The sequence below is a fragment of the Homo sapiens genome, chromosome 4 (genome assembly GCF_000001405.40).
Source record: "Homo sapiens chromosome 4, GRCh38.p14 Primary Assembly".
NCBI lineage: Eukaryota > Metazoa > Chordata > Mammalia > Primates > Hominidae > Homo > Homo sapiens.
In genome coordinates this window covers 164791251-164812572 of record NC_000004.12, presented here as the reverse complement: position 1 = coordinate 164812572, position 21322 = coordinate 164791251, and the positions used below count along the sequence as shown (strand labels likewise).

Sequence of the window (21322 nt, the reverse complement as noted above, 5' to 3'; positions counted from 1 at the left end):
ATAAAGGCTTCCCAAATGATTCTGATGTAACCATCGACTCATTTACAGATTGCCTTTAAGAGCTCTCTAAGCATTTTCTTGGACAGAGTTAATTTACTTAGAAGACCTCTGTATTTGGATGTGAAACAATTTTAGGAGGTCTTTTGCCATTAGGAAGGGTCGTATGACAGGGCAAATACAGATTTTCATTTTGGTGGTGACCACAGTGTTAATTTTTATAAAAGTTTAAAAAATCTAACCACCAGAAATTAAATCTATTCCTGATATTCAGTTCTCAGGCATTTAGTTATGACACGATGGGATTAAACATTTTAAAAACATGCATGGAAGCCTATAAGGTCAGAACTCTTTTTTTTTTTTTTTTTTTTTTTTTGAGACAGAGTCTCACTTTGTTACTCAGGCTGGAGTGCAGCGGTGCAATCTTGGCTCACTGCAACCTCCACCTTCCGGGTTCAAGCAATCCTCCTGCCTCAGCCTCCTGAGTAGTTGGGACTACAGGTGCGCGTCACCACACCCAGCTAATTTTTGTATTTTTTAATAGGACAGGATTTCACCATGTTGGCCAGGCTAGTCTTGAACTCCTGATCTCAAATGATCCACCCACCTTGGCCTCCCAAAGTGCTGGGATTACAGGCATGAGCTACTGCACCTAGCCCAAAACTCATTTTGACCTTACATTTGCAAATCTATTTTTAATGATTCACCATATAAGCTTAAACAATTAAATGTGCTTTGATAATTCAGACAGTCACATATTGAAGGCATAACTATATAAAGTTCCTAGTATTAAGGTTCATTGATTACTGGATTTAAAATGAATATAGTAGTCCAATTCTTGATTAAGCTGAACAACAAAAAACATATCACAAGCTACAAACAAATAATGGGTATATACAAAAGTACTCATTTTGTCAGCAGAGTCTACAGTCTTGCTAGAAGGTGAGAGAAGACTAAACGTATTTCTTTTTTTCTTTTTTTTTTGAGACAGAGTCGCCCAGGCTGGAGTGCAGTGGCGCGATCTTGGCTCACTGCAACCTCCACCTCCGTTCAAGTGATTCTCCTGCCTCAGCCTCCCAAGTAGCTGGGATTACAGGCACCTGCTACCACACCTTGCTAATTTTTGTATTTTTAGTGGAGACAGGGTTTCACCAAGTTGGCCAAGCTGGTCTTGAACTCCTGACCTCAGGTAATTTGCCTGCATTGGCCTCCCAAAGTGCTGGGATTACAGGCGTGAGCCACAGCGCGTGGCGAAGAGTAAATATATCTCTTGCATATGATGTTAGGTTCCTTGAAAAGAAATGGGATAGGCTTTGTAATGATAATGGCCTGAGACCTAATTCAACCCAATATCATGTGGTAGGACGTTGTTAATTATTTCAAGCAAAACTTTTGCAGGATCTCCTTCTCCCTCTCCCTCTCCCTCCCCCTCCCCCTCCCCCCTCCTCCACTTCTTCTTCTTCTTCTTCCTCTTCTTCTTCTTCTTCTCCTTCCTTCCTTCCTTCCTTCCTTCCTTCCCTCCTTCCTTCTTTTTAGACAGGCTTTCACTCCCATTGCCCAGGCAGTAGTGCAGTGACACATCACTGCTCACTGTAGCCTCAACTTTCCAGGCTCAGATGACTCTCCCACCTCAGACTCCTGAGTAGCTGGGACTACAGGCATGTGCCACCACACCCAGCTAATTTTTTGTATTTTTAGTAGAGACAGGTTTTCACCATGTTGCCCAAGCTAGTCTTGAACTCCTAGACTCAAGTGATCCTCCTGCCTTGACCTCTCAAAGTGCTGGGATTATAGGCATCAACCACCATGCCTGGCCTCTTCCTTTTATATCCTCTTCTAGGTATTTCCAGATTCACAATACTGTTGATATCACACACATTTATTACAATAAATATTTGTTTACTAAATCAATGTGTAACTGAAACAAATGTAATTTAATTTCCCTCATAATTTATGCGCTAAAAATAAATATTGAAGTGCAACCTAAGGTCTCTTGAGGACGAAAAGTTCTATCTTAGTTAATCCTAGCAACACTGATACTATACAAAGAACTATTGGAGGATAAAAGCAAACATTATGTTTTTTGCAAGACACTCACAATTTCATTTAAAAAATAAGGCACACTTACACAAAGTTAACTCAGAATAATATATGAAGGTTTACATATGAATGAACATTATGCACTTTTTTTATAATTACACTTTAACAAATTGATGCAAATGTTACTAAATTTTAAAACAGTTTATACTTGCTTATCTATTTCTTGAGTCCATATTTGTCCGCTATAAATGTAAAAAGGTAAGCTCAGGAATCAACCTGAGAGGTATTTGAGAATCCATACAAGTTAAATGTTTCTTTAAAAAAAGCAAATTCTTGGCTGGGTGCGGTGGCTCACGCCTGTAATCCCAGCACTTTGGGAGGCTGAGGCGGGCGGATCACCTGAGGTCGAGAGTTCTAGACCAGCCTGACCAACATGGAGAAACCACATTTCTACTAAAAATACAAAATGAACAGGGCATGGTGGTGCATGCCTGTAATCCCAGCTACTCGGGAGACTGAGGCAGGAGAATCAGTTGAACCTGGGAGGTGGAGGTTGTTGTAAACCGAGATCGTGCTATTGCACTCCAGCCTGGGCAACAAGAGTGAAACTCTATCTAAAAAAAAAACAAAAAAAAAAACAAAAAAAACAAAACAAACAAAAAAACTTAGTGAACGCTGTGAGTTAAAATTTCTTATCTGCATTAATTTCCAGTAAGATCATGTGAGTATTCTGATGACAATAATAATCTATGGAAGATCATTTTGAATTTGGCAGTGTTAAGTAAAATCCATTATTGAAATGTATTTAAGTTGTGTGTTTTCTTGATTTCTCAACCGGACAAAGACAATGCTATGTGTTCATCAAACCATTTTATTTTTGTCCTGAGCACATTGGAAGATGCATTTCCCAGTTTTCTTGCAGCTAGGTAGGATATCATATCACTAATTCTGGCCAATGGGATATTGGTGGCAACGATGTATGTATTTTCAGATCTGGTTCATAAAAATCTCTCACTTACACTTCTCTCCCTTTCTTATGGATGACGTGTTGAAGTGGCAACATCACAATGGAAGTAGTCTTGGTCTCTAAGTTCCCACTTGGACGTAAGTAACCCGACCACAAAACCAAATTGTCAACCATATTCAACATGAGAAATAATATATGCTCTCAGATGCTGAGATTTTTCTTTTTCTCCCCTTTTTAAATTTTTGTAAAAACAGTATAGCATAGCTTCCCCTGACTAATTCCCACTTCAGCCTGTGTGCTAAGGATAAGCAGGTTTTGTCCTCATATTGCTCAGCATTTTCATATACTCTGAAACACTCTCAGGTTGGAATAATATCTTCTCAAACTTTAACATCTTTATTAATCCTTATAAAATTGGCTGTATACTTTATTTTCCATGTGTTGTTGAGAAATTTGTGACTTACAGAATGTTAAGTGAAAATTGTAAGTAGTTAAAAGAAAAGATAAATTATACAAAAATAGACTTAAGACTGCCAAAGATTTGAAGAGAATTACAAGAGAAAGCAAGTGGCAAATTCCAAGGGAGTAAAAGTTTATATTCGATAACTGAAATTGGATTTCTTTTATATTAGAAGGGGATGAACTTGAAAAAAAGAACTACCAACAGACACTTTTTGGGAGTTAATCCAATCTTTTGTCCATTTTTTCCTTTAATTATTTTAAAACGGCTAGTTAATGGATACGTAATTCATACAAATCATACAGCATATTTTACTTTTTTAAATTTTAAGGATTTAATTTAATTAAAATTAATTTGTTGAATTATATATTATATCACATGGTTTGAAGTTCAAAAGATACTATATATGTATATCTATGTATATATCTATCTCTCTATGTATCTATCTGTATATTTTTTGTTTTGTTTTGTTTTGTTTTGAGATGGAGTTTCACTCTTGTTGCCCAGGCTGGAGTGCAGTGTCGCAATCTCAGCTCACTGCAACCTCCGCCTTCCGGGTTCAAGCGATTCCCCTGCCTCAGCCTACCAAGTAGGTGGGATTACAGTCGCCCGCAACCGCATCCGGCTAATTTTTGTATTTTTAGTAGAGACAGGGTTTCACCACCTTGGTCAGGCTGGTCTTGAACTCCTGAAATCAGGTAATCCACCCGCCTGGGCCTCCCAAAGTGCTGAGATTACAGGCGTAAGCCACTGCGCCCAGCTCTATCTCTATATATTTTTTACATACACAAAACAGATTTAATGAATCGGTATTCCAAGAAATGCCAAAGTGAGGTACCAAGACACCGGGGAAATTCCTTAAACACTCTATGCCCCAATTTCCTCTGTGAAGCAGAGGCAGCTATGGAGTCTTCAGGAGGATGGCATCGTGGGAGAACTCCATGAGGCCAGGTAAGGCAAGCACTTAGTCTTGCTCACAATAAATACTTAGGAGTAAAATCTACCCAAATGCAAAGACAGGATGCCAATGTAGTTCTTCCAGTATCAAATGAAGGTAATGGTGGCATTTCAAAAATCTAACCAAAGACATCTGCTTAGGGAATAAGAGGCTCAGGGTAAGATCTAAGGAATTCTAGCAAAACAAAAAACAAAAAAGCAAAAAAAAAAAAAAAAAAAACAAAAAAAACCGATAGGACTGATCCCAACACGAAGAGAAAACAATACAAATCCCAGGGAGGGAAATTCCAAAGTCCGCTAACATGAAAGGAATGCCTTCGTCCTCAAGTGTGTGGCGTCCACGCTGGGCTTTGTCCAAGCACACAAACCTCTTAGGCTGAACGCTTCTGTAGAGCTTCAAACAGGCTGACCATGAAAAATCCCGGCCTGCTAGAGGAAGCTCGCGGAGACAGAGATGGCATTTTCTTTGCCTATGTAGTTATTCTTCCACTTCCGCGAGCTCTGAAGATTTGCATTTTTGAGCAAAGGTATCTACCCCTCAGATCCAAGTTAGTCCTGGCAGATGAACCTCTGGAATTTGCTTCTCAGTAATAAAGAGGAGTTTTCTAACTACGTTCTCATGCCAACTAAGCTTCAGGTGGCTTAAGGCTGCAAAGATGCTGGTTCTCATCCAGAAAGGACCGATTTCTATTACTCCAGAGAAGAAGGTCTAATCATTTCATCTATGAACTAAGACTTTTCCTTGTTTATAATTTTTATTTTATTTTATTTTATTTTTTGAGAAGGGTCTCACTCGGTCACCCAGGCTGGAGTGCAGTGGAGCAAGATCATGGCTCACTGCAACCTCCACCTTCTGAGCTCAAGCAATCCTCCCACCTCAGCACTGCCCCCCACCTCCCTACTAGCAGCCGGGACCACAGGTGCAAATCACCGGCTAACTTTTTTATTTTTCATAGAGTTTCTACAGGCTGCCCAGGCCGGTCTCCTGGACTCAAGTGATCCACCCGTCTGGGCCTCCCAAGTGCTGGGCCCATGGTCGTGAGTCACTGCTGCCGGCTATAATTTTTTAAAGGAATCAATTTTGTTCCATTTAACATACATTCAACCAAGACAAATTATTAATATTTTCCTTTATGAAGAGACTTGGGGTTGGGCATGGTTGCTTATGCCCAAAGGCTGTATATGGAAAGGTCTCCTTCCCGCAATTGTTCACAGACCCTTAGTTCTCCTCATTAGGAACAAATAATGCTACCAATTTCTTGTTTACTCTTCCAAAGTTTATATGCAATTGTAAGCAATGACATATCTGTATCTACTCAGTTCTACCATTATAGCTTCAAAACAGTCATAGTCAATACAAAAAATGAATGAGCATGACTGTGTTACCAAAAAACCATATTTACAAAAATGGGGCCGGGTGCGGTGGCTCACACCTGTAATCCCAGCACTTTGGGAGGCCGAAGTGGGTGGATTACTTGAGGTCAGGTGTTCAAGACCAGCCTGGCCAACATGGTGAAACTTCGCCTCTACAAAAAATACAAAAACTAGCCACGTGTGGTGGTGCACGCTTGCAATCCCAGCTACTTGGGAGGCTGAGGTGAGAGGATTGCTTGAACCCATGAGGCAGAGGTTGCAGTGAGCCAAGATTGTGCCACTGCACTCCATCCTGGGCAAAAGAGCGAGACTCCACTCAAAATAAAATAAATAAACAAATAAAAATACAAAAAAAATTTTACAAAAACGGGTGGGCAGCTATGTTCTTAGTTTGTCAACACCTACCCTAAGGCATTAATGTTATGAGTTAATTTCTCTCCTGTGCAATTAGAATAGTACTAGTTATGCACAACCCTTCAGAAAATTGAAAAAACAGTCACTCAAATAATTTTTTGTATGGCTAATTCTCTTGTAAACTGTTGTTGAGAAAGGCTGTGGGATCTAGAAAACCATCTTGCAATTGATGTCAACTAGTCCCTTTGGAACCTGAGAGCTGTGTCTCTGGAAATGGTAGGCTGTGATACATGTGAGACCAGCCCCTTTCATTCCTGTTTAGTATCTTCAGTTTGTGATCTCTGTAATTTCACCTTGTCCCAGCCCCTGAAGTTGGGTTGGAAGCACTCACTGCTGCCTTCTCTGTTCTCCTTCTAATTCCCTAATGTACCCCACTTAATTGATGTAAACTGTATTTTTAAACAAACCTAACCTCATGAATAGTTGTTGTAACCTTTATTCAGTGGATGGGAAATTAATGGATAGAGCACTGAAGATATTTATTGATGGAGGAAGCTCATGTAATTTTTGAGAGAAAAATCGGTGGCCAGAAGATTAATGACTCAAGCTCAGTAGCAGAGCATGTGGGGTCCAGGCTACATACACAGGTTGCGCCTTCACAGTCACTTCTGGGTTACACAGAGCGGGATAAATTCTGAGACTGCGGAAAAACGCAGTTTACTTGTCTCTCCACATTTTTCTCTTCATGTTTTTACTTCCTGCAAGACTTATGGTCTTTTCCTTGTACTTTAATATCTTTTTCCACAAGGACTTAGAGCTGAAAGAAGAAAAAGTTAAAACTTCAGCTGATTGGTTTAGTTTCTGGTTAACTCTTCAAATAATAGATTAAGCTTGAGAGAAGCTTGAAACCACTGAATGAAGTCAGCTTTTGTATTATTTGTGAACCTTAGTTATTCTTTCTCTACTTCCAGGTAGCACAAATAACGGATTGTTGGTTTTACTTTTAGAAACATTTACATCTATTTTCCAGTCATTAGATAATAATCATTTTATTTGGATTGATAAATGCAGAGGTAACATTTTGAACCCATCTGTGTATTTCATCACTGTTATGAGTGCCTGAAATACAAAGGTCTTCTTAAGAATAAGTGCTTCTGAAGTCCTGTCCTTTCTTCCCAAATCAGAGCAAAAAGAAATAAAGTACTTCAGTCTTTTATCAGTTAAAATACTAACAGATAGAAAATAACAAAGAATAGACTGTTTTCCTGCCTATTGTAAGACAAAATGAAATGTTTACTGTTGGAAACACTATACCTTTTTTTAGCCTCTCTCCCCTATCTTCTTATTTTCCTTGATGGACTCTTTCTCTTATCTGAGCAAACTTTTTGTTTGTTTGTTTGACTCAGTCTCTCAGTGAACAGTATAGCGACCCATTAGCTCCAGCGTTGGACTCTGACTGTGTCAAGAGTAGAAGTTTGAAGTGCAATTCTTATCCATCATATTTCTCCAATTATTAACTCTCCTTTACTGCCTTTTAAATACTTCACAAAATGGAAACCCCTTTTGAATAAGAACAGCCGATTTTCTGGGAGATGGACAAGGAAAAGCTATGGAGAGATGCTGGGTTTCTTAGTTTAGCATGTGGCTGCTTGAAAGTTGCTATTAGATCCAGAGAACTTTTTTGTTAAGTGTGATTAGAGTTCAAAGAAAATGTTTATTTCTTAGATACTTCTATTGAAAGAAACATAAGGTGTCTATATCTGTATATCTATAATAAAATTCAGAAGGCAAGTATATATTTAAATCTATATTAACTGCACACATAAAAACAGAAGGTATTTGTGATGGGTAAATTTCAAAAGGTCTGAGAGTCGTAATAAACACTCCAAACTTCATATACTTATCCGAACTCCTTCATCAAGAAACGGGATGGGTTGCTATGAGAACAGGATTTCTTAAGAAAATTCCTACACCTTCTAGTTTCTGTAAAACTCAGAACTTTCTCACTCAATTTACTATTGCTCTGATTGCAAATCAAAAATAATAGAACACTTAAAGTAAAAGATGGTAAGTTTGTTACTACATTGAAAAAAGTATTTTATGCTGGATGAGAATACCGTTGAATAAATATCTCAGTTACTTATCTGAGATAGTTTGTCTATCCTTATAGGCAGACAAGAATGGCAGAAATCCTATGTTCAGTATGTCTCTGTTATACGGTTGCTTTTGAAGCACTTTTTTTTTTTTTTAGACAGAGTCTCGCTGTGTTGCCCAGGCTGGAGTACAGTGGCACAATGTCTGCTCACTGCAAGCTCTGCCTCCTGGCTTCAAGCAATTCTTGTGCCTCAGTCATCCAAGTAGCTGGGACTACAGGCACGGGCTACTACGCCCAGCTAATTTTTGTATTTTTAGAGACAGAGTTTCACCATGTTGGCCAGGCTAGTCTTGAATTTCTGGCCTCAAGTGACCCACCTGACTCGGCCTCCCTAAGTGCTGGGATTATAGGCGTGAGTCACTGCGCCCGGCCTTCTGAAGCATTTTGGATGGCTTTGGTAGATTGGTTATGCTTTGGGTAACAAAATAATAGCCTGGGGTTTTGGCAGTTATTTCTTTTCTTTTCTTTTTTTTGAAATGGAGTTTTGCATTTGCTCCCCAGGCTGGAGAGCAATGGCGCAATCTTGGCTCACTACAACCTCCGCCTCCCAGGTTCAAGTGATTCTCCTGCCTCAGCCTCCTGAGTAGCTAGGATTACAGGCATGGACCACCACGCCTGGCTAATTTTTGTATTTTTAGTAGAGAGGAGGTTTCACCATCTTGGCCAGGCTGGTCTCTAACTCTTGACCTCAGGTGATCCACCCACCTCGGCTTCACAAAGTGCTGGGATTTCAGACGTGAGCCACCACGCTCAGCCTTTTGCAGCTATTTCATAAACATGTTAGGGAGATTTTATTTTACATGTCCTCTTTAACATCTAACTTGACAGGTTTTTAAAATTTTTTATTTTTTGAGATAGGGTCTTCTCTTTCACCCAGGCTGGAGCTCACTGCAGCCTCAAACTCCCAGGCTCAAGCGATCCTCCTGCCTCAGCCTTGTGAGTAGCTTGGACTATAAGCATGCCCACGGCGCCTGGCTGACCTGACAATATTCCTAATTGTGAAGTGCCTCCCATTTCCAGTCAATGCAGTAATATATGTAAGATGGGCTAAGGGAGTGAATGGAGCCTCATCCAAGTATTTGAAACCATGTTGTTGATTTTTCTGCTTTTCTGAAAAAACGTATCAGTAAACTTAAAAGTCCAAATGTCCCAAAATGCTTTCCAATAATAATAGGTAGCGTTATTCAGCAACGATCCTAGGCACTGAGTTACACATTTTACTTATACTATCTCTCATCCATTTGTCAGCCCAGCAAAGATTTTTTAAAATGCTCATTTTTTCAGAGAGAACACCAAGGCTCAGAGAAATTAAGTACTTTGCCCAAGGTCATATAATAAGGAAAGGTTGGAGCAGACTCAAACCCAGATCTGCTCATCTCCAAAGCCCATTCTCTGTCCTCTCTAACTTAGTGAGCCCTTTTAAATGTTTAGTACTCTGACCTGGGTGACTACTTGGTTAACTTTGTAAGCATTCTGTTTACACTAGTATGCCTATCTCTGTATGGCAGAAAGCCATCTTTATTGAATCTTTCTTGAAAGTGAGCAGTAAGGGGTAAGTACAGATAAAGGGAGTCTCTCACATGACTGAAACTCTGTGGCAATGGAGACCTGAGCTATGATTCTTATGAGATGCAGGTAGGTATCTTTGGTTGTATTGTGGATTCCTTCCTGCCACGATAATGCTGCCAGCATTGATTGTGATGGTTTAATGTTTGTAAGAGTTATAAATAACAGGCCAGGCATGGTGGCTCATGCGTGTAATCCCAGTGCTTTGGGAGGCTAAGGCAGAGGATCGCTTGAGTCCAGGATTTGGAGACCAGCCTAGGCAACATAGAGAGGCCTTGGTTCTACAAACAATTACAAAAATTAGCTGGCTGTGATGACACATGCTTGTAGTCACAGTTACTTGGGAGGCTGAAGCAAGAGGATCACCTGAGCCCAGGAACTTAAGGTTGCAGTGAGCTATGATTACACCACTGCACTCCAGCCTCGGTGACAAAGCGAGACCCTCTCTCTCTCTTTGTTTTTTTTCTTTTGAGACAGAGTCTTGCTCTGTCGCCCAGGCTGGAGTGCAGTGGCATGATCTCAGCTCATTGCAACCTCCGCCTCCCGGGTTCACACCATTCTCCTGCCTCAGCTTCCCGAGAAGATGGGACTATAGGCGCCCGCCACCACGCTCGGCTAATTTTTTGTATTTTTAGTAGAGACGGGGTTTCACTGTGTTAGCTAGGATGGTCTCAATCTCCTGACCTCGTGATCTGCCCACCTCGGCCTCCCAAAGTGCTGGGATTACAGGCGTGAGCCACTGCACCCAGCCTCTCTCTCAAATTAAAAAAAAAAAAATATAAATAACAGAAAACTTTCAACTTTTAGGATGAATAAAGGACACAGAATGACAAATTTTCCTGGATGCTTACACATTAAGGATTTACATAGTATTGGGACGAGAGATTTACAAACACTCATGTCTCTGTAAACCATATTGCTTCAGAAAACGTAGACATTTGTGTTTTAAAGCTTACTGAGGCAATGCTAATATTTCCATTGAATGTAAACCTTTCAAAATTTCTTCTGTAAAGCTGAAAAAATATATAGTGTTTTTTCCCTCTTTCACCTATTTCAGATACGGAAGCAATAACACAGTTACTTATAGCTTTTCATTATCATTTGTTAGGAGAATTAAGACAAAAATTATCATGTGTGTCGCAGGACCAAAAAAAGTGATTAAATTTTTTGTTTGTTTGTTTATCTTACCAAATTGTAACACATGTAGTTTTCTTCTTTCTCTGTGTTCTATTTTATTATTGTAACCACTTTGGTCTTTTTTTTTTTGTATAATCAATTGCAGCTAGAATGGTGTATGGCTCTTAATAGATATTTTGGATAATGCTGAGTCCCAGAAATGTGAAGCCTTTCCCGAGTATTGAGTTCATTAATGGTTATTATCATCGTGTTTAATCAGTAAGTGATTTTAACTTTCTTCATTATCCCCTCCTCTTGTGTAACTGTGGATAAGTAGTTCCCATGGATTGCTTCCTCTGTCTTCTTAGCGAGAAATATCGGTGGCTATGAGATCATAGCTCAACAGCTTCAATTCTGTGCTCTTCCTCTGAGCAATTTTTCTTCTTTTCAGACTTTTTCCTTTTCTTTTCCCTTCCCTTTTTTTCATGTTCTTCCTCTGCAATAAGAAAGAATTTAGAAAAAGGAATGTAAATACACCATTTGGAAAAAGTAGAAATTAACTTCGGTTATAAGAAGACTTGGGTGCTCACTAATGTAACTTTTCCTGTTGGCTAGGAAAGGGATTACACCTAGCGAAAGGAGACAGAGCAAGGATGAGAGGACATTTGCCCACTGAGAAGAGACTAGTGAACACTCGTTTCTTCCTAGGTAATGTTTTGGTTCAGTATCGCAAAGGCTAATGACATCTTTTGTAAGGTGTGAACTGCCTCTGAACTAAGAGGCATTAAGATGATGAGCAGAAAGAGCACTAAGATTGATGTTAAAATTAATGGCACGTGAGAAACATGTCACATATAAAGACAGAGAAAGCTGTAGAGGGCTGGGTGCTCAAGACAACTTGTGATAGATTTTGGGAGGCCACTGTCCACAGACTGGGATCCATAAGCCTGAGGGGCATTGTCACTTGGTCTGGTAACCCATCTCAGTCTGTTCTGGGGTCCCTGGACCTACTGTGTGAGATATCAACATACCATTTCTTAGGCACTAGTTAATATTTCCTGAAATAAATATGTTAAACAGTCCAGGTGCAATGGATCATGCCTGTAATTCCAGCACTTTGGGAGGCTGAGGTGGGCAGATTACTTGAACCCAGGAGTTCAAAACCAGCCCGGCCAACAGGGCGAAATCCCATCTCTACTAAAAATTAAAAAATTAGTCAGGCATGGTGGCGCGTCTGTAATACCAGCTACTCAGGGGGCTGAGGCAGGATAATTGCTTGAAACTGGGAGGTGGAGATTGCAGAGAGCTGAGATAGCACCACTGTACTCCAGCCTCGACAAAGAGAGACTTTGTCAAAAAAAAAAAGAAAAAGAAAAACATAAGTTAAACACCCTTTAAATGTAATTGTGACTGTCCTCTGGAACCTCAAGAAATCTAGGCTAAAGCATTCCCTAGGCAAGAGAAGTAGTGAAGAGCTGAGGAAAACTACTAAATTAAAAGGCTCAGATTTTCTTTACTCTTTGCCACTAGTTTGCAGAATGATCTCTCATAAACATTTGATTTCTCTGGTTCTGTTTTCTAAATGTTTTAAAGGGGTTGTGTTGGGTGAGCCTTAAAGCACCTTATGGCTTTGAAATTTTACTTCTATCTACTTTGATTGCACATACTGTCCATTTATATCATTAGTCCTGATGTCAATTAGCACCACTTATCTTCAATCATTCATTCACTCATTCATTCAGCAATTCTTACTGAGCACACACCATGCTTCAGACTGTGTTTTAAATGCTTGGGATACATCAGTGAATAAAACTGACAAAGATCACTGCGTTTTGTGATGGTTAATTTTTTGTGTCAACTTGAGTGGGCCATGGGTGCCCAGATTAAACATTGTTTCTGGGTGTATCTGTCAGGGTGTTTCTGGGTGAGATTAGCATTTGAATTGGTGGACTCAGTAAAGCAGATGGCCTTCCCCATGTGAATGGGTTTCATTCAACCTGTTGAGGGCCTGAATAGAACAAAAGGTTAAGGAAGGAGGAATTCCTCCTGTTTTTCCTGCCTCACTACTTGAGCTGGGGATCTCATCTCAGATATTCTTCTGCCCTGTATTAGGCTGTTCTTTCCATCGCTGTTAAAAAAAAATCCCTCAGACTGGCTCATTTATGTTTATGTTTATTTTATTTATTTATTTATTATTTTTTTGAGACAGGGGCTTGCTCTGTTGCCCAGGCTGGAGTGCAGTGGCGTGATCTTGGCTCACTGCAGCCTTGAACTCCTGGACTCAAGCGATCCTCCCACCTCAGCCTCTTAAGTAGCTGGGATTACGGGTATGTGCCACCATACCCAGCTAGTTTTTGTAGTTTTGGAGGGATGGGGTTTTGTTATGTTGCCCAGGCTGGTCTTGAACTCCCGAGTTCAAGGGATCCACCCTCTTTGGCCTCCTAAAGTTCTGGGATTATAGACGTGAGCCACCATGCCCAGAGACTGGGTAATTTATAAAGAAAAGAGGTTTAAGTAGCTCATGCTTCTGCAGGCTGCCCAAGCGTGGCACCGGCATCTGCTCAGCTTCCAGGGAGGCCTCAGGGAGCTTTTACTCATGGCAGAAGGTGAAATGGGAGCAGACACTTCACATGGTGAAAGCAGGAACAAGAGGGTGAGGGGTAAGATGCCACACACTTTAAACAGTCGGACTTCATGAGAACCTCCTCCCTATCACAAGGACAGCACCGAGGGGATGGTGTTAAACCATTCATGAGAAATTCACCCCCATGATCCAATCACCCCCAACCGGGCCCCACCTTCAACAACGGGGATTACAATTCAACATGAGATTTAGAGGGGACAACATCCAAACAATATCATGCCCTCAGACTGCAGTTTACATCACTGACTCTCCTGGTTCTCCGGTCTTCGGACTTAAATGGAATTATACCATCAGCTTTTGTGGATCTCCAGCTTGCAGATAGTAGATCATGGAATTTCTCAGTCTCCATAATCCCCTAACTCAATTTCTCATAGTAAGTCTCCTTTAAAAATCATTATATCAGGCCAGGTGTGGTGGCTCATGCCTGTAATCCCAGCACTTTGGGAGGCCGAGGTGGGCGGATCACGAGGTCAGGAGATCAAGACCATCCTGGTTAACATGGTGAAACCCCGTCTCTACTAAAAAAAAAAAAATACAAAATATTAACTGGGCATGGTGGTGGGCGCCTGTAGTCCCAGCTACTCAGGAGGCTGAGGCAGGAGAATGGCGTGAACCCAGGAGGCGGAGCTTGCAGTGACCTGAGATCGAGCCATTGCACTCCAGACTGGGCGACAGAGCGAGACTCCGTCTCAAAAAAAATAAAAAAAAAAAATAAAAATCATTATATCAAAAAGATACCTATACTCATATGTTTATCGCAACAATGATCACAATAGCAAAGATATGGAATTAAACCTAAGTGTCCATCAATGGATAATTGGATAAAGAAAATGTGGTATGTATACACCATGGATTACTTAGCCCATAAAAAAGAATGAAATCATGTCTTTTGCAGCAACATGGATGGAACTGGAGGCCATTATCCTAGGTGAACTAACTGACAAACAGAAAGACAAATACTGTATGTTCTCACTTATAGGTGAGAGATAATCAATAGGTACAAATGAACATTCAGAGTGGAGTAATAGACATTAGGGACAACAAAAGGTGGGAGGGTGGGAGAGTAGTGAGGGTTGAAAATTACCTATTGGGTATAATGTTGACTATTTGGGTAATGGGTACACTAAAAGCCCAGATTTCACCACTGTGCAGTATATGCATGTAAGAAATTTGCACTTTAGGCCAGGCGCGGTGGCTCACACCTGTAATCCCAGCACTTTGGGGGCCTAGGCGGGCTGATCACCTGAGGTCAGGAGTTCAAGACTAGCCTGGCCAAAATGGTGAAACCTCTTCTCTACTAAAAATACAAAAATTGGCCGGGCATGGTGGCACGCACCTGTAGTTCCAGCCACTCAGGAGGCTGAGGCAGGAGAATCGCTTGAACCTGGGAGACCGATGTTTCAGTGAGCCAAGATCACGCCACTGCATTCCAGCCTGGCTGACAGAGTGAGACTCTGTCTCAAAAAAAAAAAAAAAAGAAAAGAAATCTGCACTTTACTCTCTAAATACATACATACATATATATATACATGTCCTTTTGTATCTGTGTTTATATCTATATTCTATTGGTCTGTGTTTCTGTAAACCTTGACTAATATACTCTTTCTTCCCATATCCCCAAGTTTACCTTCTTGCAGACAGAGATAGACAATAAATAACAAAATATAATAAAGAAGAAAATGTATGGCATGTTAGCATGCATGATATAAAAAAATAAAACTTTGCAAGGAGGATCAGGAATACTGAGGTAAAGAGGAGATTGAAATTTAAATGATGTGGTGAGCGTAAAGCTTATTAAGAAGGCGACATTGAGTAAGTACTTGAGGGAGATGAGGAGTGATGTATGTGAATATTATTAACTAAAAGAGTCGTCCAAGCAATGACAGCAGCCAGTAGAACAACCTAAAGCAGGAACCCCTCTGTGTATTTCAGAAACAGCTGGAAGAACAGTGTAGTCAAGGGCCTTAGAGACAGATACGGAAAAGAAGATCAAGAGGCTGGGTGAAAGACGTTTGGCTCTGTTAGTCATTGTAGGAATTTTGGCTATTGGTCTAAATGAAATAGCATCATTACAAGATTTTGAGCCAATGAATGATATGATCAATTATTGCCATACTCTGGGGTGAGAGATGATGGTGGCTTGGATCAGGGTGGTGGCAGTGGAAGTTTAAGGAATGTAATCAAATTCTGGGTGTATTTTGAAGCTACAGCCAACAAGATTTGCTGACAGTTTGGATATGGGTTATGAGAGAAAGAGGTTTTTCTTGAGCCACTGGAAAGATGGAGTTGCCAACAACTTTGAAGGGAAGGTGGTGGGTGGATGAGGTTTTGGAAGCAAGATCAGGAATTAAGTTTAGATTTGACTTTGAAGTAGGCATGCTGAGCAGAAAAGAGGTCTAGGCTAGAGATACAAATTTGTGACTCATCAGTTTACAGATGTTGTTTAAAGCCAAAGTAACAAGGTAAAAGCGATCCCCAAGGGAATGTGTACCGATAGAGAGGAGGTGGAAGGACTGAGTCCCAGGCGCTCCAGCATTAGGGGGAACCTGCAAAGGAGGCACACAAGGACTGATAGGGGAGGTAGAGGGGGAACCAAGAGGTGTATATCTACTCATTTCTCATTATTGAAGGAATTCAGATTTAAAATCATCACCGCAGTAACATTTTCGGCAGTTGTGAATAAATTAAGTTTGCAAACTGAAGAAAAAGAACAGAATGAGAAGTGATGCTACAGAATTTATTTTACACATGGTGGTTTGAACACCACCCGGCCAATAGAAATAGTGCATCTCCTGATGGGCTAGTTGAGGATTTTTCAGAGGAAATGATTCAAGTTCGCTTATATTTTGGGTAAGCAAATTCAAGCATTAAGTAGTTCTAAGCCCACTGAGAATTAGCCCATAAGCTGGATACTTCTGTAAATTTATGATAACAGAGTTGCCACCCTCTCAGAGTCTTTTGAGGATGTCAGCAAGGAGTGAAGGTGGGGGTTTCTCTGTAGTGTCTGGTGACCTGTGATCAGAAGCCGAATGGAGGGAACTGAGATATTGCACCTCACTAGACTGTGCTTTCTTGGAGGGCAGAGGTTGTGCTTTAGTCACCTTTATACTATGCAGCCCCGGCATATTGTAAGCAATTAGTAAACAGTTATTAAATGCATTATTAACTGATTATAATTAATACTTGATTTCTTACAACATGGCAGGCCTTAGAAATATGAAAATGACTAAAAAAATACAATCTTTATTTATTTATTAAACATTTGCTCTTCCCAACAACTCTGTGAAGTAGGGTTATATTCAATTATCTTATATTTGCTTATATTCAATTATCTTACTCTAACAAATTAGGATTCTTCTTTTTTTTTTTTTTTTTTTTTTTTTTGAGATGGAGTATCTCTCTGTCACCAGGCTGGAGTGCAGTGGCGTGATCTCGCCTCACTGCAACCTCTCCGCCTCCCAGGTTCAAGTGATTCTTCTGCCTCAGCCTCCAGAGTAGCTGGGATTACAGGCGACCACCACCACACCTGGCTAATTTTTGTATTTTTAATAGACACAGGGTTTTGCCATGTTGGCCAGGCTGGCCTCGAACTCCTGACCTCAGGTGATCCACCAGCCTTGGCCTCCCAAAGTGCTGGGATTACAGGTGTAAGTCATGGCGCCTGGCTCCTGCGAAGTAGCTCTTATTAACCCTTTGTTATAGGTGGACAAAACTGAGGCTCAGTGATATTAAGCTAATTTATCCAAGGAGTCAGAAGCAAATTTGAGATTTGAATGCAGAACTTTCTGATTCAAAGTCATGATACAATGTTGCCTTCATTAAAATTAAATTTTGTACAATTATGTAGCCAAATTTAGAACTTGCAGTGTAAAAATAGAGATTTATTAGTATTGAGTGAGAGTACAATTTTATTTTCTCATTGCAAAGTATGTAAAGTAAGAAGTGAAAGTTATTCTTTTCTAATTCCACTCATTAGAGTTCATGTTAAGAGGCAATAGTTCATTATATATATATTTCCAGATTAAAAAAATATTTTTTTAAAAAATATTTTTATACTTTCTCTTCCTCTCTGTGTATCTCTATAAGATATATTCATTTATTTTAGTTTTTTAAAATTATTATTATTATTATTATTTTTTGAGACGGAGTCTTGCTCTGTTGCCAGGCTGGAGTGCAGTGGCCTGATCTCAGCTCACTGCAACCTCCACTTCCTGGGTTCAAGCGACTCTCCTGCCTCAGCCTCCTGAGGAGCTGGGACTACAGGCGCACGCCACCATGCCCAGCTAATTTTTGTATTTTTAGTAGAGTCAGGGTTTCACCATGTTGGCCAGGATGGTCTTGATCTCTTGACCTTGTGATCCACCCGCCTTGGCCTCCCAAAGTGCTGGGATTACAGGTGTGAGCCACTGCGTCTGGCCCTATTTTAGTTTTTAAACAAAAATGTGGTTGTACTATACATATTGTTCTATATGTTGTTTTTTTACACTAAAGATTGTGGAAATTTCCCCACATATACATCTACTTTTCTTCCTCTTTCTTCTTCTTCTTCTTTTTTCTTCTGAGACAGGGTCTCATTCTGTCACCCAGACTGGAGTGCAGTGGCACAATCATTCATGGCTCACTGAAGGCTCAACCTCCTGGGCTGAAGTGATCCTCCCACTTCAGCCTCCCAAATAGCTGGAACTACAGGCGTGCACCACTGCTACCAACTAAATTTTTAAAATTTTTTGTAGAGATGGGGTTTCCTTATGTTGCCCAGGCTGGTCTGGAACTCCTGGGCTCAAATGATCCACCTGCCTTGGCCTCCCAAAATGCTGGGGTTACAGACGTGAGCCACTGTGCCTGGCAGGTTGCCTTTTCAACCTGTTGATTGTGGCTTTCAATGCACAAGTCTTTAAGTTTGATGTAGTTTATATCATTTATTTATAAGTATTTATATTTACTTTTGTTTGTTCTTACTTTTGGTTGCATATGCTTTTGGTGTCATAGCCAAGAAATCATTGCCAAGTCAAATGCTACGATGCTTTTCTCATGTTTTGTTCCAGAAGTTTTATATTTTTGAGTCTTACGTTTAGATCTTTAACCCATTTTGAGTTAATTTATATATATGATGTGTTATAGACTGAATGTTTCTGTCCCACTTAGCCCCAAATTCAGATGCTGAAGCCCTAACCCCTAGTGTGTGTGTTTTGAGATAGAACCTCTAAGGAAGTCATTGAGGTTCAATGAGGTCATAAGGATGGGGCTCAGGTCTAATAGAATTAGTATCCTTATAAGGTGAGACACCAGAGATCTTGCTCTTTTTCCCTGCATTCACACAAAGAAGAAATCATGTAAGCAAACAGCGATATAGTGGCTGCCTACAAGCCAAGAGAAGCAGTCTCAGAATAAAACCTACTTGACCAGTACCTTGATCTTGGACTTCCCAGCCTCCAGAACTGTAAAAAATAAATTTTTATTGTATAAGCCATCCAGTCTAAGGTATTTTATTATGGCAGACTAATACCTGGTGTAAGATGAAGGTCCAACTTCATTCTTTTGTATGTGGATATCTAGTTTTTTTGTTTCATAATTTCAACTTTTATTTTAGATTCAGGGGTTACAAACACAGGTTTGTTACCTGAGTTATTGTGGGATACCGAGGTTTGGAATACAAATGATTCCGTCACCCAGATAGTGAGCCTCGTGCTCAATAATTAGTTTTTCAACCCTTCTTTTCTCCCTCCTCACTCCGTTAGTCTCCAGTATCTATTGTTGTCCATGTTTATATTCATGAGTACCCAATATTTAGCTTCAGCTTATAAGAGAGAACATAATGGCATTTTATTTCCTGTTCCTGTGTATATTTGCTTAATGTAATGACCTCCAGTATCAGCCATATTGCTGCAAAGAACATGATTTTGTTCTTTTTTTATGGCTGCATAGTATTCCACGGTATTCAGTTTTCTCAACACCTGTTGTTGAAGAGGAGACCCTTTTGAAATTGAATGAGCTCTTTATTCTAATCCATTGGTATGTTTTTTTCTGTTTTTATGCCAGTGCTACACTGTATTGATTACTGTGGCTTTGTAATGTTTTGAAATCAGGAAATATGAGTCTTCCAACTTTGCTCTTATTTTTCAAAATTGTTTTGACTAGGGTGCCTTGAGATTCTATATGAATTTTATGATAAATTTTTTTATTTCTGCAAAAAAAGTTATTGAATTTTGGTAGCAACTTTGGTGAATCTGTAGAAAACTTTGAATAGTATTTGGATTTTTATGTGTACTGAAGTGGTCTTCCATAGTAGTAATCACAGTTCAGATGCTGAATTCACCAATTAATAATGTTAAACAAAAAATTAAAAAGACAAAACCTTTTGAAACAAATTCAGTACTTTGAAATGCTATAAAATTTAGACAAATTTTGGCAAATTTCTCTTTTAGGAATTATAGACTGCATCTTCATGTTCTTCCTTTCCTCAAATCTCATGTAGAAAACCTTAATTAAATAAACTGTGAAAAAAAATTATTGCTAATGATTTATTGGCAAAATTTACATCAAGACAAACTAAGTTTCCCAAAGGGTGGAGAAATTTGCCAAAATATTGCCTAGATATTATATTACTTCAGAACACTCCTTTTGTCAATGAGTTCCTACACATCTTTAAAAAATATATTTTCAATTATCTCCCCCTTTTTAGACAGCTTTCAAGAAACCGCTTTGAAAAAGGTTAATGATAATCTAAAATGTTGCTACTTAAAGTGTAGTCTGTGGCCTAGCACCATGATGTCACTTGAGAGCATTCTGAAACAATGCAGAATCTCAGATCTACTAAATTAGAAGTTGCATTTTAACAAGATCTTCAAGGGAATCAAATGCACATTAAAGTTTTGAGACGCACTGATTAATGAATAGCTAATTCAATGGAACTTTGTGTAGCAAGGATCTAAAGCATCAGCTTGCCCAGAAAATCTTGTGCAGCTGACAATAATATTGAATAGAAAACCAGATACCACATGTTCTCACCTATAAGTGCGAGCTGAGCTGTAGATACGCAAAGGCATACGAAGTGGTATAAACAGACATTGGAGACTCAGAAGTGGGGAGTGTGGGAGGGGTTGAAGGATGAAAAATTACCTGTTGGGTACCATGTACACCATTAAGGTAATGGGTACACTTAAAGCCCAGACTTCACCACTCCACAATAAATTCAAGTAACTAAAAACCACTTGTACCTTAAATCTATTGAAATAAAATTAAATAATAATAATAGTAATATTATTGACAACAAAATGTCTGAGAACCATTGCTATAGATGATTACTGTAGACATTATAACTACTTTGTTAGAAATGAGTAAACTTTTGGAAGGCTAAGGCAAGTGGATTGCTTGAGCCTAGGAGTTCGACACCAGCCTGGGCAAGGTAGTGAAAACCCCATCTCCACCTAAAAATTACAAAAATTAGCTGGGTGTGGTGGTGTGTGCCAGTAGTCCCAGCTACTCAGGATGCTGAGGTGGGAGGATGGCTTGAGCTTGAAAGGCAGAAGTTGCAGTAAGCTGAGATCGCACCACTGCAGTCCAGCCTAGGCAACAGAGCCAGACCCTGTCTCAAAAACTAAAAAATGACTAAAACTACCAAATGTATTATAATTTTTAAAACAGTGATACATCATGTCTTCTTTCATAGCAGGCAAATAAATTTGTATGTCT

General features: G+C 39.7%; 1 protein-coding gene across 1 annotated transcript in view, besides 2 other annotated features; it reads right to left on the bottom strand.

Moving 5' to 3' along the window:
* Positions 1 to 8777: 8777 nt before the first annotated feature.
* The window catches only part of SMIM31 (small integral membrane protein 31), a 49665-nt gene continuing 37120 nt past the window's right edge, over positions 8778 to 21322 (bottom strand). The window contains exon 3 of the mRNA NM_001352885.1: positions 8778 to 11482. Coding sequence (NP_001339814.1) covers positions 11379 to 11482 — 104 coding nt within the window. The 3' untranslated portion in view covers positions 8778 to 11378. The remainder of the gene's footprint in view (positions 11483 to 21322) is intronic.
* Positions 12193 to 12812: an enhancer, noted in NCBI's record as "OCT4-NANOG-H3K27ac hESC enhancer chr4:165720913-165721532 (GRCh37/hg19 assembly coordinates)". NCBI's record gives its function as "activates a minimal SCP1, AML or CMV promoter by ChIP-STARR-seq in primed H9 embryonic stem cells {active_cell/tissue: H9 hESC(primed)}" and the evidence as "EXISTENCE:reporter gene assay evidence [ECO:0000049][PMID:30033119]".
* Positions 12813 to 13431: an enhancer, noted in NCBI's record as "OCT4-NANOG-H3K27ac-H3K4me1 hESC enhancer chr4:165720294-165720912 (GRCh37/hg19 assembly coordinates)". NCBI's record gives its function as "activates a minimal SCP1, AML or CMV promoter by ChIP-STARR-seq in naive and primed H9 embryonic stem cells {active_cell/tissue: H9 hESC(naive and primed)}" and the evidence as "EXISTENCE:reporter gene assay evidence [ECO:0000049][PMID:30033119]".